General features: G+C 39.9%; 1 pseudogene across 1 annotated transcript in view, besides 1 other annotated feature; it reads left to right on the top strand.

Moving 5' to 3' along the window:
* Positions 1 to 8041, top strand: part of SULT6B2P (sulfotransferase family 6B member 2, pseudogene) — a 35556-nt pseudogene extending 27515 nt beyond the window's left edge. Inside the window, exon 4 of the transcript XR_001749042.2 lies at positions 4998 to 8041. The product of XR_001749042.2 is annotated as a sulfotransferase family 6B member 2, pseudogene, transcript variant X1 (transcript). The remainder of the gene's footprint in view (positions 1 to 4997) is intronic.
* Positions 10554 to 10693: an enhancer, noted in NCBI's record as "active region_6097". NCBI's record gives its function as "activates an Ori minimal core promoter by ATAC-STARR-seq in GM12878 lymphoblastoid cells {active_cell/tissue: GM12878}" and the evidence as "EXISTENCE:reporter gene assay evidence [ECO:0000049][PMID:35858748]".

Raw genomic sequence — 19228 nt, 5'->3', positions numbered from 1 at the left:
ATGAAAACCTAGAATGCCCTTAAATGACCATTAATCAAAAACTGTTAAGACGCAACCATATGGGGACTCAGTATGAAGTCATGAAAAATATAGAAAATTGTATAACTAGCTTTTATTGAGTGCTTCTTATGTGCCAGGCACAGTACTTGGTTTATCTTAAACATGGCAGCAGGCTTGAGGATGACATTCATGCTATCCACACTTTGCTGAGATGTCAGGCACCTGAATAATTTGTCCAAAGTCACAGAGCTAGTAGAAGGTAGTCAAGTTTTGAATTCAAACCGTTTTATTCGTCTTCTCTTTACTCTTAGTCTAACCAAAGGTTTGTCAATGCTGTCTACTTTTCAAAAAACAACTCTGGGTTTTGTTGACTATTTTCCTATTTTTTTCTATTCTCTATGTCATTTATTTCTGCTCTAAGCATTATTATTTTCTTCCTTCAGCTAACTTTGGGCTTAGTTTATTCCTTTTATAGTTCCTTGAGGTATAAAGGTAGGTTGTTTCTCTGAGATCATCTTCTTTTTAAATATAAGTGTTTAACCCTATAAACTGCCCTCTTTGTACTGCTTTTGCACCAACCTAATACATTCTATAACTTTTTTTTTTTTTGAGATGGAGTCTCGCTCTGTTGTCCAGACTGGAGTGCAGTGCCACGATCTCGGCTCACTGCAACCTCCGCCTCCCGGGTTCAAGTGATTCACTGGCCTCAGCCTCTCGAGTAGATGGGATTACAGGCACCTGCCACCATGCCCAGCTAATTTTTTGTAGTTTTAGTAGAGATGGGGTTTCACCATGTTGCCCAGGCTGGTCTCAAACTCCCAACCTCAAGTGATCCACCCACTTCAGCCTCCCAAAGTGCTGGGATTACAGGCATGAGTCACTGCGTCCAGCAACATCTTATAATTTTTGATATGTTGTGTTTTCATTTTCATTTCTAATCTTTTGATTTCTTTTTTGACCTACTGGTTACTCATCTTGCTCTACTGAACCATATATTTGCGTGTGTGTGTATATACACATATTAATGTTAACATTGAAGATAATCAAAGTATAATAAGCAAAAAAAGCAGGTTGAAATTGTGTGATTTTTAAATGTAGTTTATATATGTGTGTGTGTGTCTGCAAAGAGAAACATCTGGAAGAATGCATGTTAGCAGGTCTGTAAGCCATGTTAGCTGAGTGTATTTACTCTATTTCATCTTTTGCTTATATAATTTTCCATAACCTACATATACAATTGTGATATTATTTTTTAAAATAGTTTTTCTTTAAAAAAAGGAAAAAAAATGGCAAGGCGAAAGAACAAATTAAAAACAGGGCAAAGAAAAAGAGTCAGGTCAAATGAAGTAAGAGTTCAGGTGAATAATATAGAAGCCAGACGGCAGAACCAGAAAGGACCAAAGAATGTTGACAATCACAGGCACACCTCATAAATTGCACTTTGCTTTATTTCAGTTTGCAGATATTGGTATTTGTTTTTATTTTATTTTATTTTTTTACAAATTGCAGGTTTGTGGCAACCCTGTGTTAAGCAAGTCTATGGATGCCATTTTTCAACAGTATGCACTCACTTTGTGTCTCTGTGTCACATTTTGGTAATTCTCCCAGTGTTTCAAACACTTTTATTATTATATATGTTAGGGTGATGTGTGATCAGTGATCTTTGATGTTACTATTGTAATTGTTATGGGTGCCATGAAATGTGCCCATGTAAGATGGTGAACCTAATTGATAAGTGTTGTAAGTGTTCGGACTGTTCCACCAAACAGCTGTTCCCACCACATCTGTCTCCCTTTCTTCTAGCCTGCCTGTTCACTGAGACACAACAATATTGAAATTAGGACAATCAATAAAACTACAATGACTTTCAAGTGCTCAAGTGAAAGGAAGAGTCTCACATCACTCACTTTAAATCAAAAGTTAAAACGATTAAACTTAGTGAAGAAGGCATGTTGAAAGCCTTCAGGCTGAAAGCTGGGCCCCTTGCACCAAATGGTTGGCCAAGCTGTGAATGCAAAGGAAAAGTTATTGAAGGCGACTCAAAGTGCTACTTTACTATTTATTTACACAAATAATAAGAAAGTGAAACAAATTTCTTGCTGAGATGTAGAAAGTTTGACTGATCTGGAGAGAAGATCAAACCAGCCACATTTCCTTAAGTCAAAGTCTAATCCAGAACAAGGCCGTAACTTTCTTCAATTCTGTGAAGGCTGAAAGAGGTGAGGAAATGATAGAAGAAAAGTTTAACGCAAGCAGAGGTTAGTTTAAGGCAAGCAGAGGTTTAAAAAAAGAAGCCATCTTTAGAACATAAAGACACACAGAGAAGCAGCAAGTGCTGCTTTCTTTATGTTATAAAGCTGTTTTTATGTTATAACATAAAGATATCTTTATTTCTCTATTTCAATAGGATTTTGGGGAACAGGTTACGGTATTTGGTTACATGAAAAAGTTCTACGGTGGTGATTTGTGAGATTTTGGTGCACTCATCACCTGAGCAGTGCGCACTGTACCCTATGTGTAGTCTTTTATCCCTCACCACTCCCCACCCTTTCCCCTGAGTCCCCAAAGTCCAATGTATCACTCCTATACTTTTGCATCCCCATAGCTTAGCTCCCACATGAGTAAGAACATGTGATGTTTGGTTTTCTATTCCTGAGTTACCTCACTTAGAAAAATAGTCTCCAATTTTATCCAGATTGCTACAAATGTAATTATTTCATTCCTTTTTATGGCGAGTAGTATTTCATGGTATACACACACACACCATATTTTCTTTCTTCACTCGTCGATTGATGGGCATTTGGGCTGGTTTCATATTTTTGCAATTGCAAATTGTGCTGCTATAAAGATGCATATGCAATTATCTTTTTTATATAATGACTTATTTTCCTCTGGGTAGATACCTAGTAGTGGGATTGCTGGATCAAACAGTAGATCTATTTCTTTAAGGAATCTCCACACTGTTTTCCATAGCGGTTGTACTAGTTTACATTCCCACGAACAGTGTAAAAATGTTTTCCCTTTTCACCACATTCATGCCAATATCTATTATTTTTCAATTTTTGCAGGAATGAGGTGGTATTGCATTGTGGTTTTGATTTGCATTTCCCTGATGATTAGTGATGTTGAGCATGTTTCCATATGCTTGTTGGCCATTTATAGATGTTCTTTTGTGAATTGTCTATTCATGTCCTTAGCTCACTTTTTTGTGGGATTTTTTTTCTTGCTGATTCGTTTGAGTTCTTTCTAGATTGTGGATATTAGTCCTTTGTCAGATGTAAAAATTGTGAAGATTTTCTCCCACTCTGTGGGTTTTCTGTTTACTCTGCTTATTGTTTCTTTTGCTGTGCAGAAACTTTTTAGTTTAATTAAGTCCCACCTATTTATCATTGTTTTTGTTGTATTTGCTGTTGGGTTTTTGGTCATAAAGTCTTTGCCTAAGCCAATGTCAAGAAGGGTTTTTCCAATGTTGTCTTCTAGACTTTTTATGGCTTCAGGCCTTATATTTAAGTCTTTGATCCTTCTTGAGTTGATTTTTGTATAAGGTGAGAGATGAGGATCCAGTTTCATTCTCCTACATGTGGTTTGCCAATTACTCCAGCACCATTTGTTGAATACAGTGTCCTTTCCTCACATTGTGTTTTTGTTTGCCTTGTCAAAGATCAGTTTGTTGTAAGTATTTGGCTTTATTTCTGGGTTCTCTATTCTGTTCCACGGGTCTATGTGCCACCAATACCATGTTGTTTTGTTGACTGTGACCTTATAGTATACTTTGAAATCAGGTATTGTGATGTCTCCAACTTTGTTCTTTTTGCTTAGTCTTGTTTTGGCTATGTAGGCTCTTTTTTGATTCCATATGAATTTTAGGATTGTTTTTTCTAGTTCTGTGAAGAATGATGGTGGTATTTTGATGGGAATTGTATTGAATTTATAGATTGCTTTTGGCAGTATGGTCATTTTCACAATGGTGATTCTACCCTTCTATGAGCATGGGATGTGTTTCCATTTGTTTGTGACATCTATGATTCCTTTCAGCAGTGTTTTGTTGTTTTCCTTGTAAAGGCTTTTACATCCTTGGTTAAGTACATTCCTAAGAATTTTATTTTTTTTTTTGCAGTTATTGTGAAAGGGGTTGAATTGTTGATTTGATTCTCAGCTTAGTCACTGTTGGTGAATAGCAGAGCTACTAATTAGTATACATTAATTTTGTATCTTGAAACTTTGCTGAATTCATTTACCAGTTCTAGGAGCTTTTTGGATGAGTCTTTAGGGTTTTCTAGGCATATGATTGTATCATCAGCAAACAGCAGGAGTTTGACTTTCTCTTTACTGATTTGGATGCCCTTTATTTCTTTCTCTTGTCTGATTGCTCTGGCTAGGACTTCCAGTACCATGTTGAATAGAAGTGATGAAAGTGGACATCCTTGTCTTGTTCCAGTTCTCACAGGGAATGCTTTCAACTTTTCCCCGTTCAATATAATGTTGGCTGTGGGTTTGTCATAGATGGCTTTTATTACCTTAAGGTAATATGCCGATTTTGCTGAGTGTCTTAATCACAAAGGGATGCTGGATTTTGTCAAATGCTTTTTCTGTGTCTATTCAGATAGTCATGAGAATTTTTTTTTTTTTTTTGAGATGGAGTCTCACTCTGTCCCCAGGCTGGAGTGCAGTGGCATGATCTTGGCTCACTGCAACCTCCACCTCCCGGGTTCAAGTGATTCTTCTGCCTCAGCCTCCCAAGTAACTGAGACTACAGGCACGTGCCACCACACCCAGCTAATTTTTGTATTTTTAGTAGAGACGGGGTTTCACCATGTTGGCCAGGATGGTCTCGATCTCTTTACCTCATAATCCACCTACCTCAGCCTCCCAAAGTGCTGAGATTACAGGCATGAGCCACCACGCCTGGCCTAAGTTTTGTTTTTAATTCTGTTTATATGATGTATCACATTTATTGACTTATGTATGTTAAACCATCCCTGCATTTCTATTTCCAGGCAGCTGGTGACCAGGACTGAGAACTTGTCCCAGGCCACGAGCCTCCCCATTGAGAAGGCAAGCAGACTCACAGTTTTTTGGCATCTCAGGGATGCTGCAGCAGTGACCTAGTTCTTTCAAAGGGTCTGTGGATTCTCTTGACTTTCCTGATATGTTCCTGCAGTAGTTCTGGGAGCCAAAGTTCACAATGTGAGTCTCCACATGCTGCTCTGTCTGTCTAAGTGGAAGCTACAAACTAGTCTTGCTTCCTATCTGCCATTTTCACTCAATCACGCCAAGATGTCTTTATAACATAAAGATGCAAGGAGAAACAGCAAGTGCTAATGAAGAAGCTGCAGCAGGTTATCCAGAAGATTTAATTAAGATCATTGATGAAGGTGGCTACACTAAACAAGATTTTCAATGTAGACGAAATAGCCTCCTGTTGGAAGAAGATACCATCTAAGATTTTCATAGCTATAGTGGAGAAGTCAATGTTTCAAAACTTCAAGGGAAAGGCTGACTCTCTTGTTAGGGGTTAATGCTGCTGGTGACTTAATGTTGAAGCCAGCGCTCACTTACCATTCTGAAAATTCTAGGGCCCTTAAGTATTTGGGTAAATCGACTCTGCCTGTGCTCTATAAATGGAACAGCAAAGCCTGGATGACAGCACATCTGATTGTAGCACGATTTATTAAATATTTGAAACCCACTGTTGAGACCTACTGCTCAGAAAAAAAGATTCCTTTAAAATGTTACTGCTCGTTGACAATTCATCTGGTCACCCAAGAGCTCTGATGGTGATATAAAAGCTGATGAATGCTGTTTTCATGCCTGTTTATGCCTGCTAACATAACATTCATTCCACAGTCATGGATCAAAGACTAATTTCAACTTTCAAGGTCTTATTACTTAAGGAATACATTTCGTAAGGCTACTGCTGTCATAGATAGTGATTTCTCTAATGTAACTGGGCAAAGTAAATTGAAAATCTTCTGGAAAGGGATTCATCATTCTATTGCCATTAAGAACATTTGGGATTCATGGAAAGAGGTCAAAATGTCAACATTAACAGGAGTTTGGAAGAAGTCAATTTCAATACTCATGGATGGGTTCAAGTTTTCAGTGGAGAAAGAAACTGAAGTTGTGGTGGAAATAGCAGGAGAACTAGAAATAAAAGTGAACCCTGAAGATGTGACTGAATTGCTGCAATATCATGGTCAAACTTGAATAGATGATGATGTGGTTTGGCTCTCTGTCCCTACCCAAATCTTACCTTGAATTGTTATACTCCCCAGTGTCATGGGAGGGACCCAGTGGGGGTAATTGAATCATGGGGGTAGTTTTCCCCATACTGTTCTTGTGATAGTGAGTGAGTTCTCACGAGATCTGATGGTTTTATAAGGGGCTCTTCCTTTCGCTGTGCCACTCTTCTCATTTCTGGTGCCTTGTGAAGAAGGTGCTTTGCTTCCCCTTCACCTTCTGTCCTGGTTGTGGGTTTCCCAAGGCCTCTCCAGTCATGCTGAACCGTAAGTCAACTAAACCTCTTTCCCTTATAAATTACCCAGTCTTGGGAGGTTCTTTATAGCAGTATGAAAAATGGACTAATACAGATGAAGAGTTGCTTCTTATGGATGAGAAAAAAAGAGGTTTTTCCTGGTGAAGATGTTGTGAACATTGTTTAAATGACAACCAAGAATTTAGAATATTACATATACTTAGCTGACAAATCACTAGCAGGGCTTAAGAGAATTGACTCCAGTTTTGAAAGTTCTACTGTGGATAAAATGCTATTGGATAGCATTGCATGCCTCAGAGAAATCTTTACTGAAAGGATGAGTCAATTGATGTGTAAACTCAGTGTTTTATTTTAAGAAAATGCCACTGCTATTTCAACTTCAGCAGTTACCACTCTGTTCAGTTAACAGCCATCAACATGGAGTCAAAACCCTCTATCAGCAAAAAGATTACAACTTGCTGAAGGCCCAGGTGTTTGTTAGTAATTTTTAGCAATAAAGTATTTTTAATTAAGGTATGTTCATGGTTTATTATTAGACAAAATGCTATTGCACACTTAATAGACTATAGTATAGTGTAAATATAACTTTTTATACACTGGGAAACAAAACAATTCAAGTGACTCACTCTATTGTAATATTCACTTTATTGGGGTGGTCTGGGACTGAACCTGCAATATCTCTGAAGTATGCCTTTGACATTAATATTAATCTTCTATGGGCCAGGCACTTTGACCTCATGAAGTTGGCCTTGTCTCCCAATTCGTGCATTTTCGGAGCAATGTCACTTCCTTACTCTGAGATCTCTCTGGTACTACTTTTTGTCATTTCTCTCTGCTTCTTCTTAAACTCAGTTTTTTGAACCCGGAATCAACAACATCAAAAATTCCTAGATTTTACTGTATTTTTTTGCTGTGGGAAATTGTCTGACACTCAGTCAAAACACAGGTATTTACTCAGGACCTGCTGGCTGCTGGTCAGCACTGGATGAGAGGTTCTGCAGGATTACACATGAACAGCACATCACAGTTCCTAACATGAATGAACATATAAGCTATTTGGAAAGAAAAGATGATAGAGAACAACAGAAGATGTTCTGTAATGGATGGATAAAACGTATCACTGGCTCCAGTACAGGTAGACCCCAGAGATGAAGTTTGAGGCTAGAAGTGGCAAAAGACCATTGTAGGCAAGATCCAGGGTTGGGGTTTGGCATTGTGTGCATAGTGGGGGCAAAAAAGGCAGTCCTGTGTGGTTGACCCTGTGGCCAAGGCTGAGAGAGATGATTTGTATGATCAAGAGAGGCTGATGGACTATGTGAAGTGTATATCTTATCTCAATCACCCAACACTTTATATTGAAAGTGAGGATATCACACAAGTAAATTTTGTTTGTGTTTATATAACTTGGCACTTATGTTTTCAATATCATGTTGTAAAATAAATGTCTTTAAAATTAGACTAATTACCGCCACCCTCCAGTCATCAGCACAGCTTCTGCTGTGGAGATGTGCAAGTTGGGAAATAAACGAAACATCATTATGTCCATATTGCCCGCTTTATGATTTTATTAAGTTTAGGTGAGAAACTTTGCCTGTTAGAGTAAAACCTATGACATTCATGTATTTTTAATCTGCCTTTTTTTCCAGAAATAACTTTTTAAACTGCATAATATACAACCATTACAGAAGAAATTAGAAACAACAGATAAGTAAATAAAGAATAATCCCCTATCATCTTGGCACCAAGAGATACAAGATGTTCACATTTTATTTTAAAACTGGCAGATTTCTTTTGTGAATACAATACATTTAAATTGGTTCTTGTCTAATACATTTCCAATCTATCCAGGAGCGGTGGATGATTGGATAAACTACTTCAGAGCAGAAGAGTATTTAATGAACTATTCACAGAGAAGATGAAACACAGTGAACTGGTAAGACACTTTGAAGATCACTCAGTACAAATGGGAAATGAAACCAATTTTTATTTTATGCAATGCAGTGCTTTGGGAAAACATAAATATTTTTCACCATTATAGAAAGCAGATTTTTTTTCAGTGCAAAACAGACACTTTATAAATGTGTCAAAAGTGTCATGTGTGATATACTATTTCATATTTTGTGATAGCAGAGAATTATTAGTAAGAAAAAAAGTGGTGGTGAGGGGGTTAGCCAAGATGGCTGACTAGTAGCAGCTACGTTGTGCCAATCTAAGAGAAATAGAAGGGGTGAGTAAATACAGCACATTGTACTTCCGGTACAATGTGTACACCGGAAGCATCCAGGTACACACATTGGGATTCATCAAGGAAACAATTTGACTCATGAAGAATGGAGAAAAGCAAGGCAGGGTAACTGCCCACCTAGGAGTGCCATGGAACCAGGGGAGCCTCCCTTGCCTAGAGAAGTGTTGACTGAATGAGGAAGTGACTGCAGAGACCCACTGTTCTACCACAGATCTTTGCAACCCTCAGGTCAGGAGATCCCTTCATGGACCCACTCTACCCAAACCTTCAGTTTGACATGCAGAGCTACATAATGTCTCTGCAGAGTAGCCACTCAGGCACATGTGGAGCCCTGGGAGCCTTAGATATCCAGCTTCCTGTCAAAAAGTAGCTGCAGCTCTTTCAAAGTGAGAGGTTAGATCCTCGTACCTACCCGTAGGAAAGGGGCTGAATCCAGGGGAGTGAGCAGCGATGGACTACAGGCACCTCACTGGATAAGACCCACCGGCTTGGGAACCCAGCCAGTCACCAATAATAACCGTTACACCTCCCTGAGATGAAGCTCCCAGAGGGCGGGGTGGGCCACATCTTTGTTGTTTTACAGCCTTAGCAATTGTTGCCTTTGGACTCTAGGAGTCTGAAGTGACTGGAGGCTGGAGCGGACCCCCAGTCCAGCATAGCAGCTCTGCAAAGCAGCAGCCGACTGCTTTTCATGTGGATCCCAAATCCCATTTCTCTTCACTGGGTAGAATCTCCTGACCAGGACCTCCTGTCACCCCCACTGGTGTTTTCTGGCTGACAGCAGTTCCAACCCCTCCCTGAGATGTAGCTCCCAGAGGGAGGGGCAGGCCACCATCTTTGCTCTTTAGCAGCCTTAGCTGCCTTCAGGCATTAGAGTCCATGGTGACCAGGGGCTGTAGTGGATCCCCAGAAAAGCACAACTATCTTGAGGAAAAGCAGCCAGGCTGCTTTTTTACATGGGTCCCTGATCCTATACCTCCTTACTGGGTGGGATCTCCTGATTGGGGTCTCCAACCACTTCTTGCAGGTGTGTTCAGGTTGGTAACAGGTCCGACCTCCCTGGGATGGAGCTCCCAGAGGGAGGGGCAGGCCACCTTTTTGCTGTTTTGCAGCCTTCACTGTTGATATCTTTAGATACTGGAAAATTCAAAGCCACTGGGGACTGGAGTGGACCCCCAGCATACTGCAGCAGCCCTGTGGAAAAGTGGCCAGACTGTTATGTGGTCCCCAATCGTGTAGCTCCTCACTGGGCAGGTCCTCTTGGCTTGGGTCTCCAACTACCCTCTGCTGAGGCTATAGAGCCAATAGCAGCTCTGTAACTCCCTGGGCAGAGCTCCCCATGGTAGGGGCAGGTTGCCATGGTGGCTGTCTTGCAGCCCTTGCCCTTGGTGTCTCCAGGCTCTGGAGAGTCTGTGAGGATCAGGGACTGGTCCAGATCCCCAGCACAGAGCAACAACCCCATGGAAAAATGGTCAGATTGTTCCCCATACAGGTCCCAGTCCTCACTTCTCACTGGGCAGGGCTATCCAACCCCCAACACAACCACCCTGACCCTGCCTGATCACTTCAATCAGAGCCAGCTCAGCACTTCTCCCAGGAGGAAATCGCAGAGCCAACCCACAAACCCTCCTTCGCTGCAGCTGCAGTGGTACAGTTCCAACAGCCCTCGTGCTTGGGAAGGAACAAGGGGCTTAGTCATTATGCTGGCACTTCCAGCACACCACAGCCACGCTATAGAGAGGAGCCCAGCCCCTCTTCCAGGGGAATCCCCACCCCACACTCTTCACCAGGCAGGGCCCCTGGCTCATGACTGCAGAACAGCCACTCCACCCATGGCTGAACATATCCACTGGTAGTGGCCTGAGGAGAGGCTTGTAGAGACATGTTACAGCCCCTTCGTCACTGGTTCTATCCCTGCTGCCCTCAGTCTGAAGAAGAAACAAAGAACCTGAGGGCTACATCTGAGCTTACAGCATGCCACAGTCATATGGAGAGGAAACCAGTCTCTCCTCCCAGTGAACCATTGACCCCCTGCTGCCAAACAAGCAGAGCCCCAAGCTCATGTGCCAGCACTGCACCTGCCCCTCCCCACTGGCTGAACACTCCCAATAAGAGCAGCTCTGCTTCACAGAGGTGGAACCCCCAGGGGCAACCAAAAGCCTCTCTGCCACTGCCTCTGCAGTGGTATTACCCCTGCCACTCTCAGAGTAACAAAGGCAGAAGCAGTGGCAGAGAGGCTTTGGTTGCCCCTGGGGGTTCCACCTACAAGAAAGATGGAGTGCAGGAAAGGGAACTCCAGGCTTGGGCCCACAGCACAGACCCATCCTAGGCTGATTGCACTGAGCGATTGCTGACCTGCATTTCTCTGGGGTGGAGCCCCTAGGATACAAATAAAAGACCATCGGCTACAACCACTGCTAAGGTTCCTTCCTCTGCTGCCTCTAAGTTGGGGAGGAAACATAAACCTTGAGTTCACCCCAGAGCTCTGGTGGACAGCCTGGGAGTGCCAAGCCGCAATTTACAGCCAGCGCTCAAGTGGAAGAGGGGCCCTTGATTTCAGAGCATTGAGAGGGAACATGGCTGCAACTGTGAGGAAATACAGGGGAACCACACAACTGAGCAAGAGCCTACCAACTGACCACTATGCCTAAGCGCCACCTACTGGATCATACCCCAAAGCTTCAACACCAAAAATGTCTAGGTAACATACTCCCCTGTAAAACCAAAGACAAGAAGTTAGCCACAAATAAAAACCCTGCACAAAGCTTCAGCCCTGTGAAAACATCCAGAAAAGAAGTCTATTGACTATACTCAATCTACGCTGCAGTTAAAGGAACACCCACATGCAGAGATGAGAAAGAAGGCAATACAAGAACTCCAGTAACTCAATGGCCAGAGTGCCATATGTCCTCCAAATGACCACACTAATTTTCCAACAAGGATTCTTAACCAGACTGATCTGGCTGAAATGACAAAAATAGAATTCAGAATATAGGAAAAACAAAGATAATTAAAATTAAAATTCAGGAGGATGGCAAACCCCAATCCAAGGAAAATAAGAACCACAATAAAACTATACAGGAGCTGACAGACAAAATAGCCAGCATAAAAAAGAACCTAACTGATCTGACAGAGCTGAAAAACACACTACAAGAATTTCACAATGCAGTTGCAAGTGTTAACAGCAGAATACACCAAGCTGAGGAAAGAATCTCAGAACTTTTTTTTTTTTTTTTTTTTTTTTGAGACGGAGTCTCGCTCTGTCGCCCAGGCCGGACTGCGGACTGCAGTGGCGCAATCTCGGCTCACTGCAAGCTCCACTTCCCGGGTTCACGCCATTCTCCTGCCTCAGCCTCCCGAGTAGCTGGGACTACAGGCACCCGCCACCGCGCCCGGCTAATTTTTTGTATTTTTAGTAGAGACGGGGTTTCACCTTGTTAGCCAGGATGGTCTCGATCTCCTGACCTCATGATCCACCCGCCTCGGCCTCCCAAAGTGCTGGGATTACAGGCGTGAGCCACCGCGCCCGGCCAGAATCTCAGAACTTGAAGACTGGTTCTCTGAAATAGGACAGTCAGGCAAAAATTAAAAGAAAATAAAAAGGAATTAATAAACCTCCAAGAAATGTGGGATTATGTAAACATGCCAAATATAAAAATGATTGGCATCCTGAAAAGGGATGGGGAGGAAGCAGACAACATGGAAAACATATTTCAGGATATCATCCATGAAAATGTCCCCAACCTCACTATAGAGGCTGAGAGTCAAATTCTGGAAATACAGAGAGCCTTGCAAGATTCTATACAAGAAGATCATCCCCAAAAAACACAGTCAGATTTTCCAAGGTTGAAATGAAAAAATGTTAAAGGCAGCTAGAGAGAAAGAGCATGTCACCTACAAAGGGAACCCCATCAGGCTAACAGCAGACCTCTCAGCAGAAACACTACAAGCCAGTAGAGATTGGGGGCCTATATTCAACATTCTTAAGGAAAAAATAATCTTCAACCAAGCATATTATATCCAGCCAAACTAAGCTTCTTCTAAGTAAAAAAGAAAGAAGAACCTTTTCAGATAAGCAAATGCTGAGGGAGTTCATTGCCACCAGATGTGTCTAAGAAGAGATCTTGAAAGGAGCACTAAATATGGAAAAGAAAGACCATTACCAGCCAATAGAAAAACACACTTAAGGACACAGACCAATGACACTATACAGCAACCACACAAACAAGCTGGCACAATAACCAGATAACAACACAATGACAAGATCAAATTCACACATATCAGTACTAACCTTGAAGGTAAACAGGCTAAATGCCCCATTTAAAAGGCTCAGAATGGTCAGCTGGATAATAAAGCAAAACCCAGATATGCTGTCTTCAAGAGACCCATCTCATACACGATGACACCCATAGGCTCAAAATAAAGGGATAGAGGAAAATATACCAAGCAAATGGAAACCAGCAAAAAGCATGAGTTGTAATCTTAATTTCAGGCAAAACAGACTTTAAACCAACAAAAATCAAAACAGACAAAGAAGGGCATTACGTAATCATAAAGGGTTCAATTCAACAAGAAGACTTAACTATCCTAAATATATATGCACCCAATACAGGAGCACTCAGATTCAAAAAGCAAGTTCTTAGAGGCCTACAAAGAGACTTAGACTTCCACACAATAATAGTGGAAAACTTCCTTACTCCACTGACAGTATCAGATAGATCATTGAGGCAGAAAATTAACAACAACATTTCAGGACCTGGACTCAATATTGGACCAATGGATCTGATAGACCTTTACAGAACTCTGTACCCAAAAACAAAATATACACTTTTCTCATCACCACATGGCACATATTCTAAAACTGGCCACACAGTTGGACATAAAACAATCCTCAGCAAATGCAAAGAAACTGAAATAATACCAAACACACTCTCAGACCACAGTACAAAATAGAAGTAAAGACTTAAAAATAAATCACTCAAAACCATGCAATTACATGGAAATTAACCTTCTCCTAAACAAGTTTTGGGTAAATAATGAAATTAAGTGAGAAATCAAGAAATTCTTTGAAACTAATGAGAACAAAGATACCAGAATCTCTGGGACACAGCTAAAGCAGCGTTAAGAGGGAAATTTATATCACTGAATGCCCATATCAAAAAGTTAGAAAGATCTCAAATTAACAACCTACCATTACAACTAAATAACTAGAGAAGCAAGAACAAACCAATCCCAAAACTAGCAGAAGAGAAGAAATAATGAAAATCGGAGCTGAACTGAAGGAGATTGAGACACAAAAAAACATTCAAAGGATCATCAAATCCAAGAGTAGGCTTTTTGAAAAAATTTAATAAGATTGGCCACTAGCTAGATTAATAAAGAAGAAAAGAGAGGAGGTCCAAATAAACATAATTAGAAATGACAAAGGGGATATTACCACGACCCCACAAAAATACAAATAACCATCAGAGACTGCTACAAACACCTCCATGCACACCAACTAGAAAGCCTAGAAGAGATTTATAAATTCCTGGACACATACACCCTCCTAAAACTGAACCAGGAAGAAGTTGATTCCCTGAGCAGACCAATAACAAGTCCCAAAATTGAATCTGTAATAAACAGCCTACTAACCAAAAAAGCCCAGGACCAGACAGATCCACAGCCAAATTCTACCAGATGTAGAAAGAAGTCTGGTACTGTTCCTACTAAAACTATTCCAAAATATTGAGGAGGAAGAATTCCTCCCTAACTCATTCTGTGAGGCCAGTATCACCCTGATACCAAAACTTACCAGAGATCCAACAAAAAAAAGGAAATTTCAGGCCAATATGCCTAATGAACACGGATGTAAAAATCCTCAACAAAATACTTGCAAACCGATTCTAGCAGCACACCAAAAACCTAAACCACCATGATCAAGTAGGCTTTATCCTAGGGATGCAAGGTTGGTTTAACCTATGCAAATTAATGTGATTCATCACATAAACAGAGCTAAAGACAAAATCCACATGATTATCTCGATACAGAAAAGGGTTTTGATAAAATTCAACATCCCTTAAAACCTCTCAATGAATTAAATATTGTAAGAACATACCTCAATATAATAAGAGCCATCTATGACAAACCTACAGCCAACATCATACTGAGTTAGCAAAAGCTGGAAGTATTCCCATTGAAAATCGGCACAAGACAAGATGCCCTCTCTCACTACTGTTATTAAACATAGCATTGTAAGTCCTGGCCAGAACAATTAGGCAAGAGAAAGAAATAAAGCACATCCAAATAGAAAGAGGGAAAGTCAAACTATTCCTTTTTGCAGACTACATGATTCTATGTCTAGAAAACCCCATAGTCTCAGTCTGAATGCTCCTTCAGCTGATAACTTCAGCAAAGTCTCAGGATACAAAATTAATGCACAAAAATCACTAACATTTCTATACACCGACAACAACCTAACTCAGAGCCAAATCAGAAAGGCAATCCCATTCGCAATTGCCACAAAAGGAATAAAATACTGAGGAATACGGCTAACCAGGGAGGTGAAAGGTCTCTGCAATGAGAATGACAAAACACTGCTCAAAGAAATCAGAGATGACACAAACAAATGGAAAAACATCTCATGCTCATGGATAAGAATAATAAATAAAATAGTCATACTGCCCAAAGCAATTTACAAATTCAATAACATTCTTCACAGAACTAGAAAAAACTATTTTAAAATTCATATGGAACCAAAATAAGCCTGAATAGCCAAGGCAATCCTAAGCAAAAAGAACAAAGCTGATAGTATCTTGTTACCCAACTTCAAGCTATACTACAGGGCTACAGTAACTAAAACAGCATGGTACTGTTACAAAAACAGAAATGTAGATAAATGGAACAGAATAGTGAGCCCAGATATAAGAACACACACCTATGACCATCTGATCTTTGACAAAGCTGACAAGAAAAAGCAATGGGGAAAGACTCCCTATTCAATAAATGGTGCCTGGATAACAGGGTAATCATATAAAGAATACTGAAATGGGACCCCTTCTTTATACCATATACAAAAAAATCAATTCAAGATGAATTGAAGACTTAAATGTTAAACCCAAAATTATAAAACCCCTGGAAGACAATGGAATAGGCAATACCATTCAGGGCATAGGAACTGGCAAAGATTTCATGAAGGCACCAGAATTAATTGCAACAAAAGCAAAAATTGAAAAATGGAATCTAATTAAACTTAAGAGCATTTGCAAAGAAATTATCAACAGAGTAAACAGCCAGCCTACAGAAGGGGAGAAAACATTTGCAAACTGTGCATCTGACAAAGTTCTAACATTCAGCATCAATAAGGAACTTAAATTTAAAAGAAAAAAACAACCCCATTAAAAAGTGGGCCAAGGACATGAACAGTCACTTTTCAGAATAAGATGTACATGTGACCAACAAGCATATGAAAAAAAGTTCAACATTACTGATCATTAGAAAAATGCAAATCAAAACCACAACAAGATACTGTCTCACACCAGTCAGGATAGCTATTATTAAAAAGTCAAGAAATAACAGATGCTGGTGAGGTTGCAGAGAAGAAAAAAACACATATACACTGTTAGTGGAGGTGTAAGTTATTTCAACCATTGTGGAAAGCAGTGTGGCAATTCCTCAAAGAGCTAAAAACAGAACTACTATTTGACCCAGCAATCTCATTACTGAGTATATACCCAAAGAAATAAAAATCATTCTATCATGGAGATACATGCATGCATATGTTCATTGCAGCACTGTTCACAATAGTGAAGACATAGAGTCAACCTAAATGACCATCGATGACAGACTGGATAAAGGAAATGTGATACATATACACCATGGAATACCATGCAATCATATAAAAGAATAAGATCATGTCCTTTGAAGAAACATGGATGAAGCCGGAGACCATTTTCCTTAGCAAACTAATGCAGGAACAGAAAACCAAATGCCACATTCTCACTTATAAGTGGGAGCTAAATGATGAGAACACATGGACACAAAGAAGGAAACAACAGACACTAGTGCCTAGTTGAAAGTGAAGAGCAGGAGAAAAGAGAAGATCAGAAAAAATAATTATTGAGTACTAGGTTTTATACCTGGATGTCAAAATAATCTGTACAACAAACCCTTATGACATGAGTTTACCTATATAAGAAACCTGCACACATACCCCTAAACCCTGAACCTAAAATAAAATAAAAGTTAAAAAAAAAATAGAAACTTATAAAGATGGCAACACTACACCAAAATGCAAACTGTGACTCTTGGCCCTTCTATTCAAAGCTCTATAAATGTTAGGTGTCACTTTTCTCTCGTTTTAATTGTGAATGCAAGCAATCCTAGAAGAATAAGTATCTTCAATGATTTATATAGAAATAGGTTACATCAACTTCTTATCTCTGAAGAAAGAAACCAAATGTAACTCACTTTTTTGGAGAGTAAATGAGTGAATTGTTTGTGCTTGCTTTAATGAAAAAGATGATCTTATTAGGATCAGAAAAAAAATTCAAGAAGCATTGAGTGTCATCAATGAAGAAGCCACATATGGCAATAGACTAGTAGATAATTTTGGTTATTATTGCGAAGCTATTTTTACATGAGAAGATGAATATGGCCAAATGAGTTTCCCCATAAATGTCCAATTTACTTCTTTTTATGTAACTAATTTTGTTTATACTTGCATGCCTCTTACTGATAATGAGTCACTAATAGACTGGTTTATGATTCTGATAAATTAATCCCCATGCATTTGTGTAGCCAGTTTATCTCCACCCTCACACTCCTTTTGTTTTTAAGCGGTGGGGAAAAAACCTAGTCATGTAAAGAAAATCTTTTATAATTGTTAAAATGTATTATTTATCAATAGTGAAGTAATGTGGGTAGTTTTTTTATAGTTTTTGGCAGATGATTCACATTTGTGCTGTGTCTAGGTTGACAAAGAAACCCACTATTAATGGGCAAGAAGTGATACGGTCTAGCGGAATAATACATTTTGAATGAGACCTGTGGTCTTTCCCTGCTTTTCTTCTTTTCTCTGGGCCTCAGTTTCTATATTTTTAAATCAATTAAAATTGCCTTTATTTTGAGCAAAAGAAGGTAATAGCCAGGGTACCATTGATCAATTGATAAAACCACTTCACTGAAAATTATTTTTCTCTTGTAATTAACTGTTGACACTTCTATTTGAATGCGTTTCCATTCTGCGGTTAAAAGATATATTAGTTGGCCGGGCGCGGTGGCTCACGCCTGTGATCCCAGCATTTTGGGAGGCCAAGGAGGGCAGATCACTAGGTCAGGAGATCGAGACCATCCTGGCTAACAAGGTGAAACCCCGTCTCTACTAAAAATACAAAAAATTAGCTGGGCGTGGTGGCGGGTCCCTGTAGTCCCAGCTACTCGGGAGGCTGAGGCAGGAGAATGGCGTGAACCCGGGAGACGGAGCTTTCAGTGAGCCGAGATCGCCCCACTGCACTCCAGCCTGGGCAACAGAGCGAGACTCCATCTCAAAAAAAAAAAAAAAATATATATATATATATATATATATATTAGTCGAATTTTTTTTTCTGTTGTTTCTCTCCTTCTCCTAACAAATCAAAGGCACACTACTACATATGGGTGAAGCGCTATGAACAAGACGTATTAGTTGAGAGATTTTCTGTTTGAATCACCAGAATTATTCATTTATTCATTCAGCAGATATTAGTATGCCTACCATAGACAAGACATGATGCCAGGTACTATGAGTCTTATCACGATGAAAAAGGCCAAAATGCTATGTGTCCAGAAAAATAAGAGATCATACTTTACTGGGTAAGCCTCAAAGTCAAGGAATACTTTACAGAGTAAAAGGCATTTGAGCTGTGCCTTAGAATAAGGTGGGTAAGATTTTTAACAAGTGCAGTGTGCCCATGGGGAGGCCTTTCTAGGACGGAGGAAGAGCATAGACAAATGCATCAGTGCTGGAAAGCAGTGAGCTTGGCTTGCAGCCCTTGCTGCAATGTTTCGGTTGTAAAGCAGCAGGTTGAAAATCTTTCTCTCTCTTCCTCACGCTAATCAGGAGGTCTAGTCTGACTGAAATTTTGAGTGCACGTAGAACAATGTAGGCTTAGGCCTAAGCATAAGGCCAGATTATTGAATGCCTTAAATGTTGGCAGTCCAAAGAGTTTAGAAAGATGTCTACCTGTCCATGTGAGATTTCTCCTTACATTCTGAGTTTGAAAACAGTATACTGTGTTAAACCAGACGCATGAGCTAATCTAATTATACATATTTTTGAGATTTGTCTTTAGATCTTCTAAACTTATTTTAGGTTTGCAAAAAGACCATACAAAGAAATGTAATATGCAAATATGAGTAATTTCAGCAAATCTTATACAATTTGAAATTAAATTTCCATCTTTTGCTCGTATTCATGGCAGTCATGCTGAGAAATATCACTAATGATTTTAATGAATGAATTCTTTTAA

Source organism: Homo sapiens, chromosome 12 (genome assembly GCF_000001405.40).
Source record: "Homo sapiens chromosome 12, GRCh38.p14 Primary Assembly".
In the NCBI taxonomy this organism is placed as follows: Eukaryota; Metazoa; Chordata; class Mammalia; order Primates; family Hominidae; genus Homo; species Homo sapiens.
This window is presented reverse-complemented; position numbering and strand designations above follow the sequence as displayed.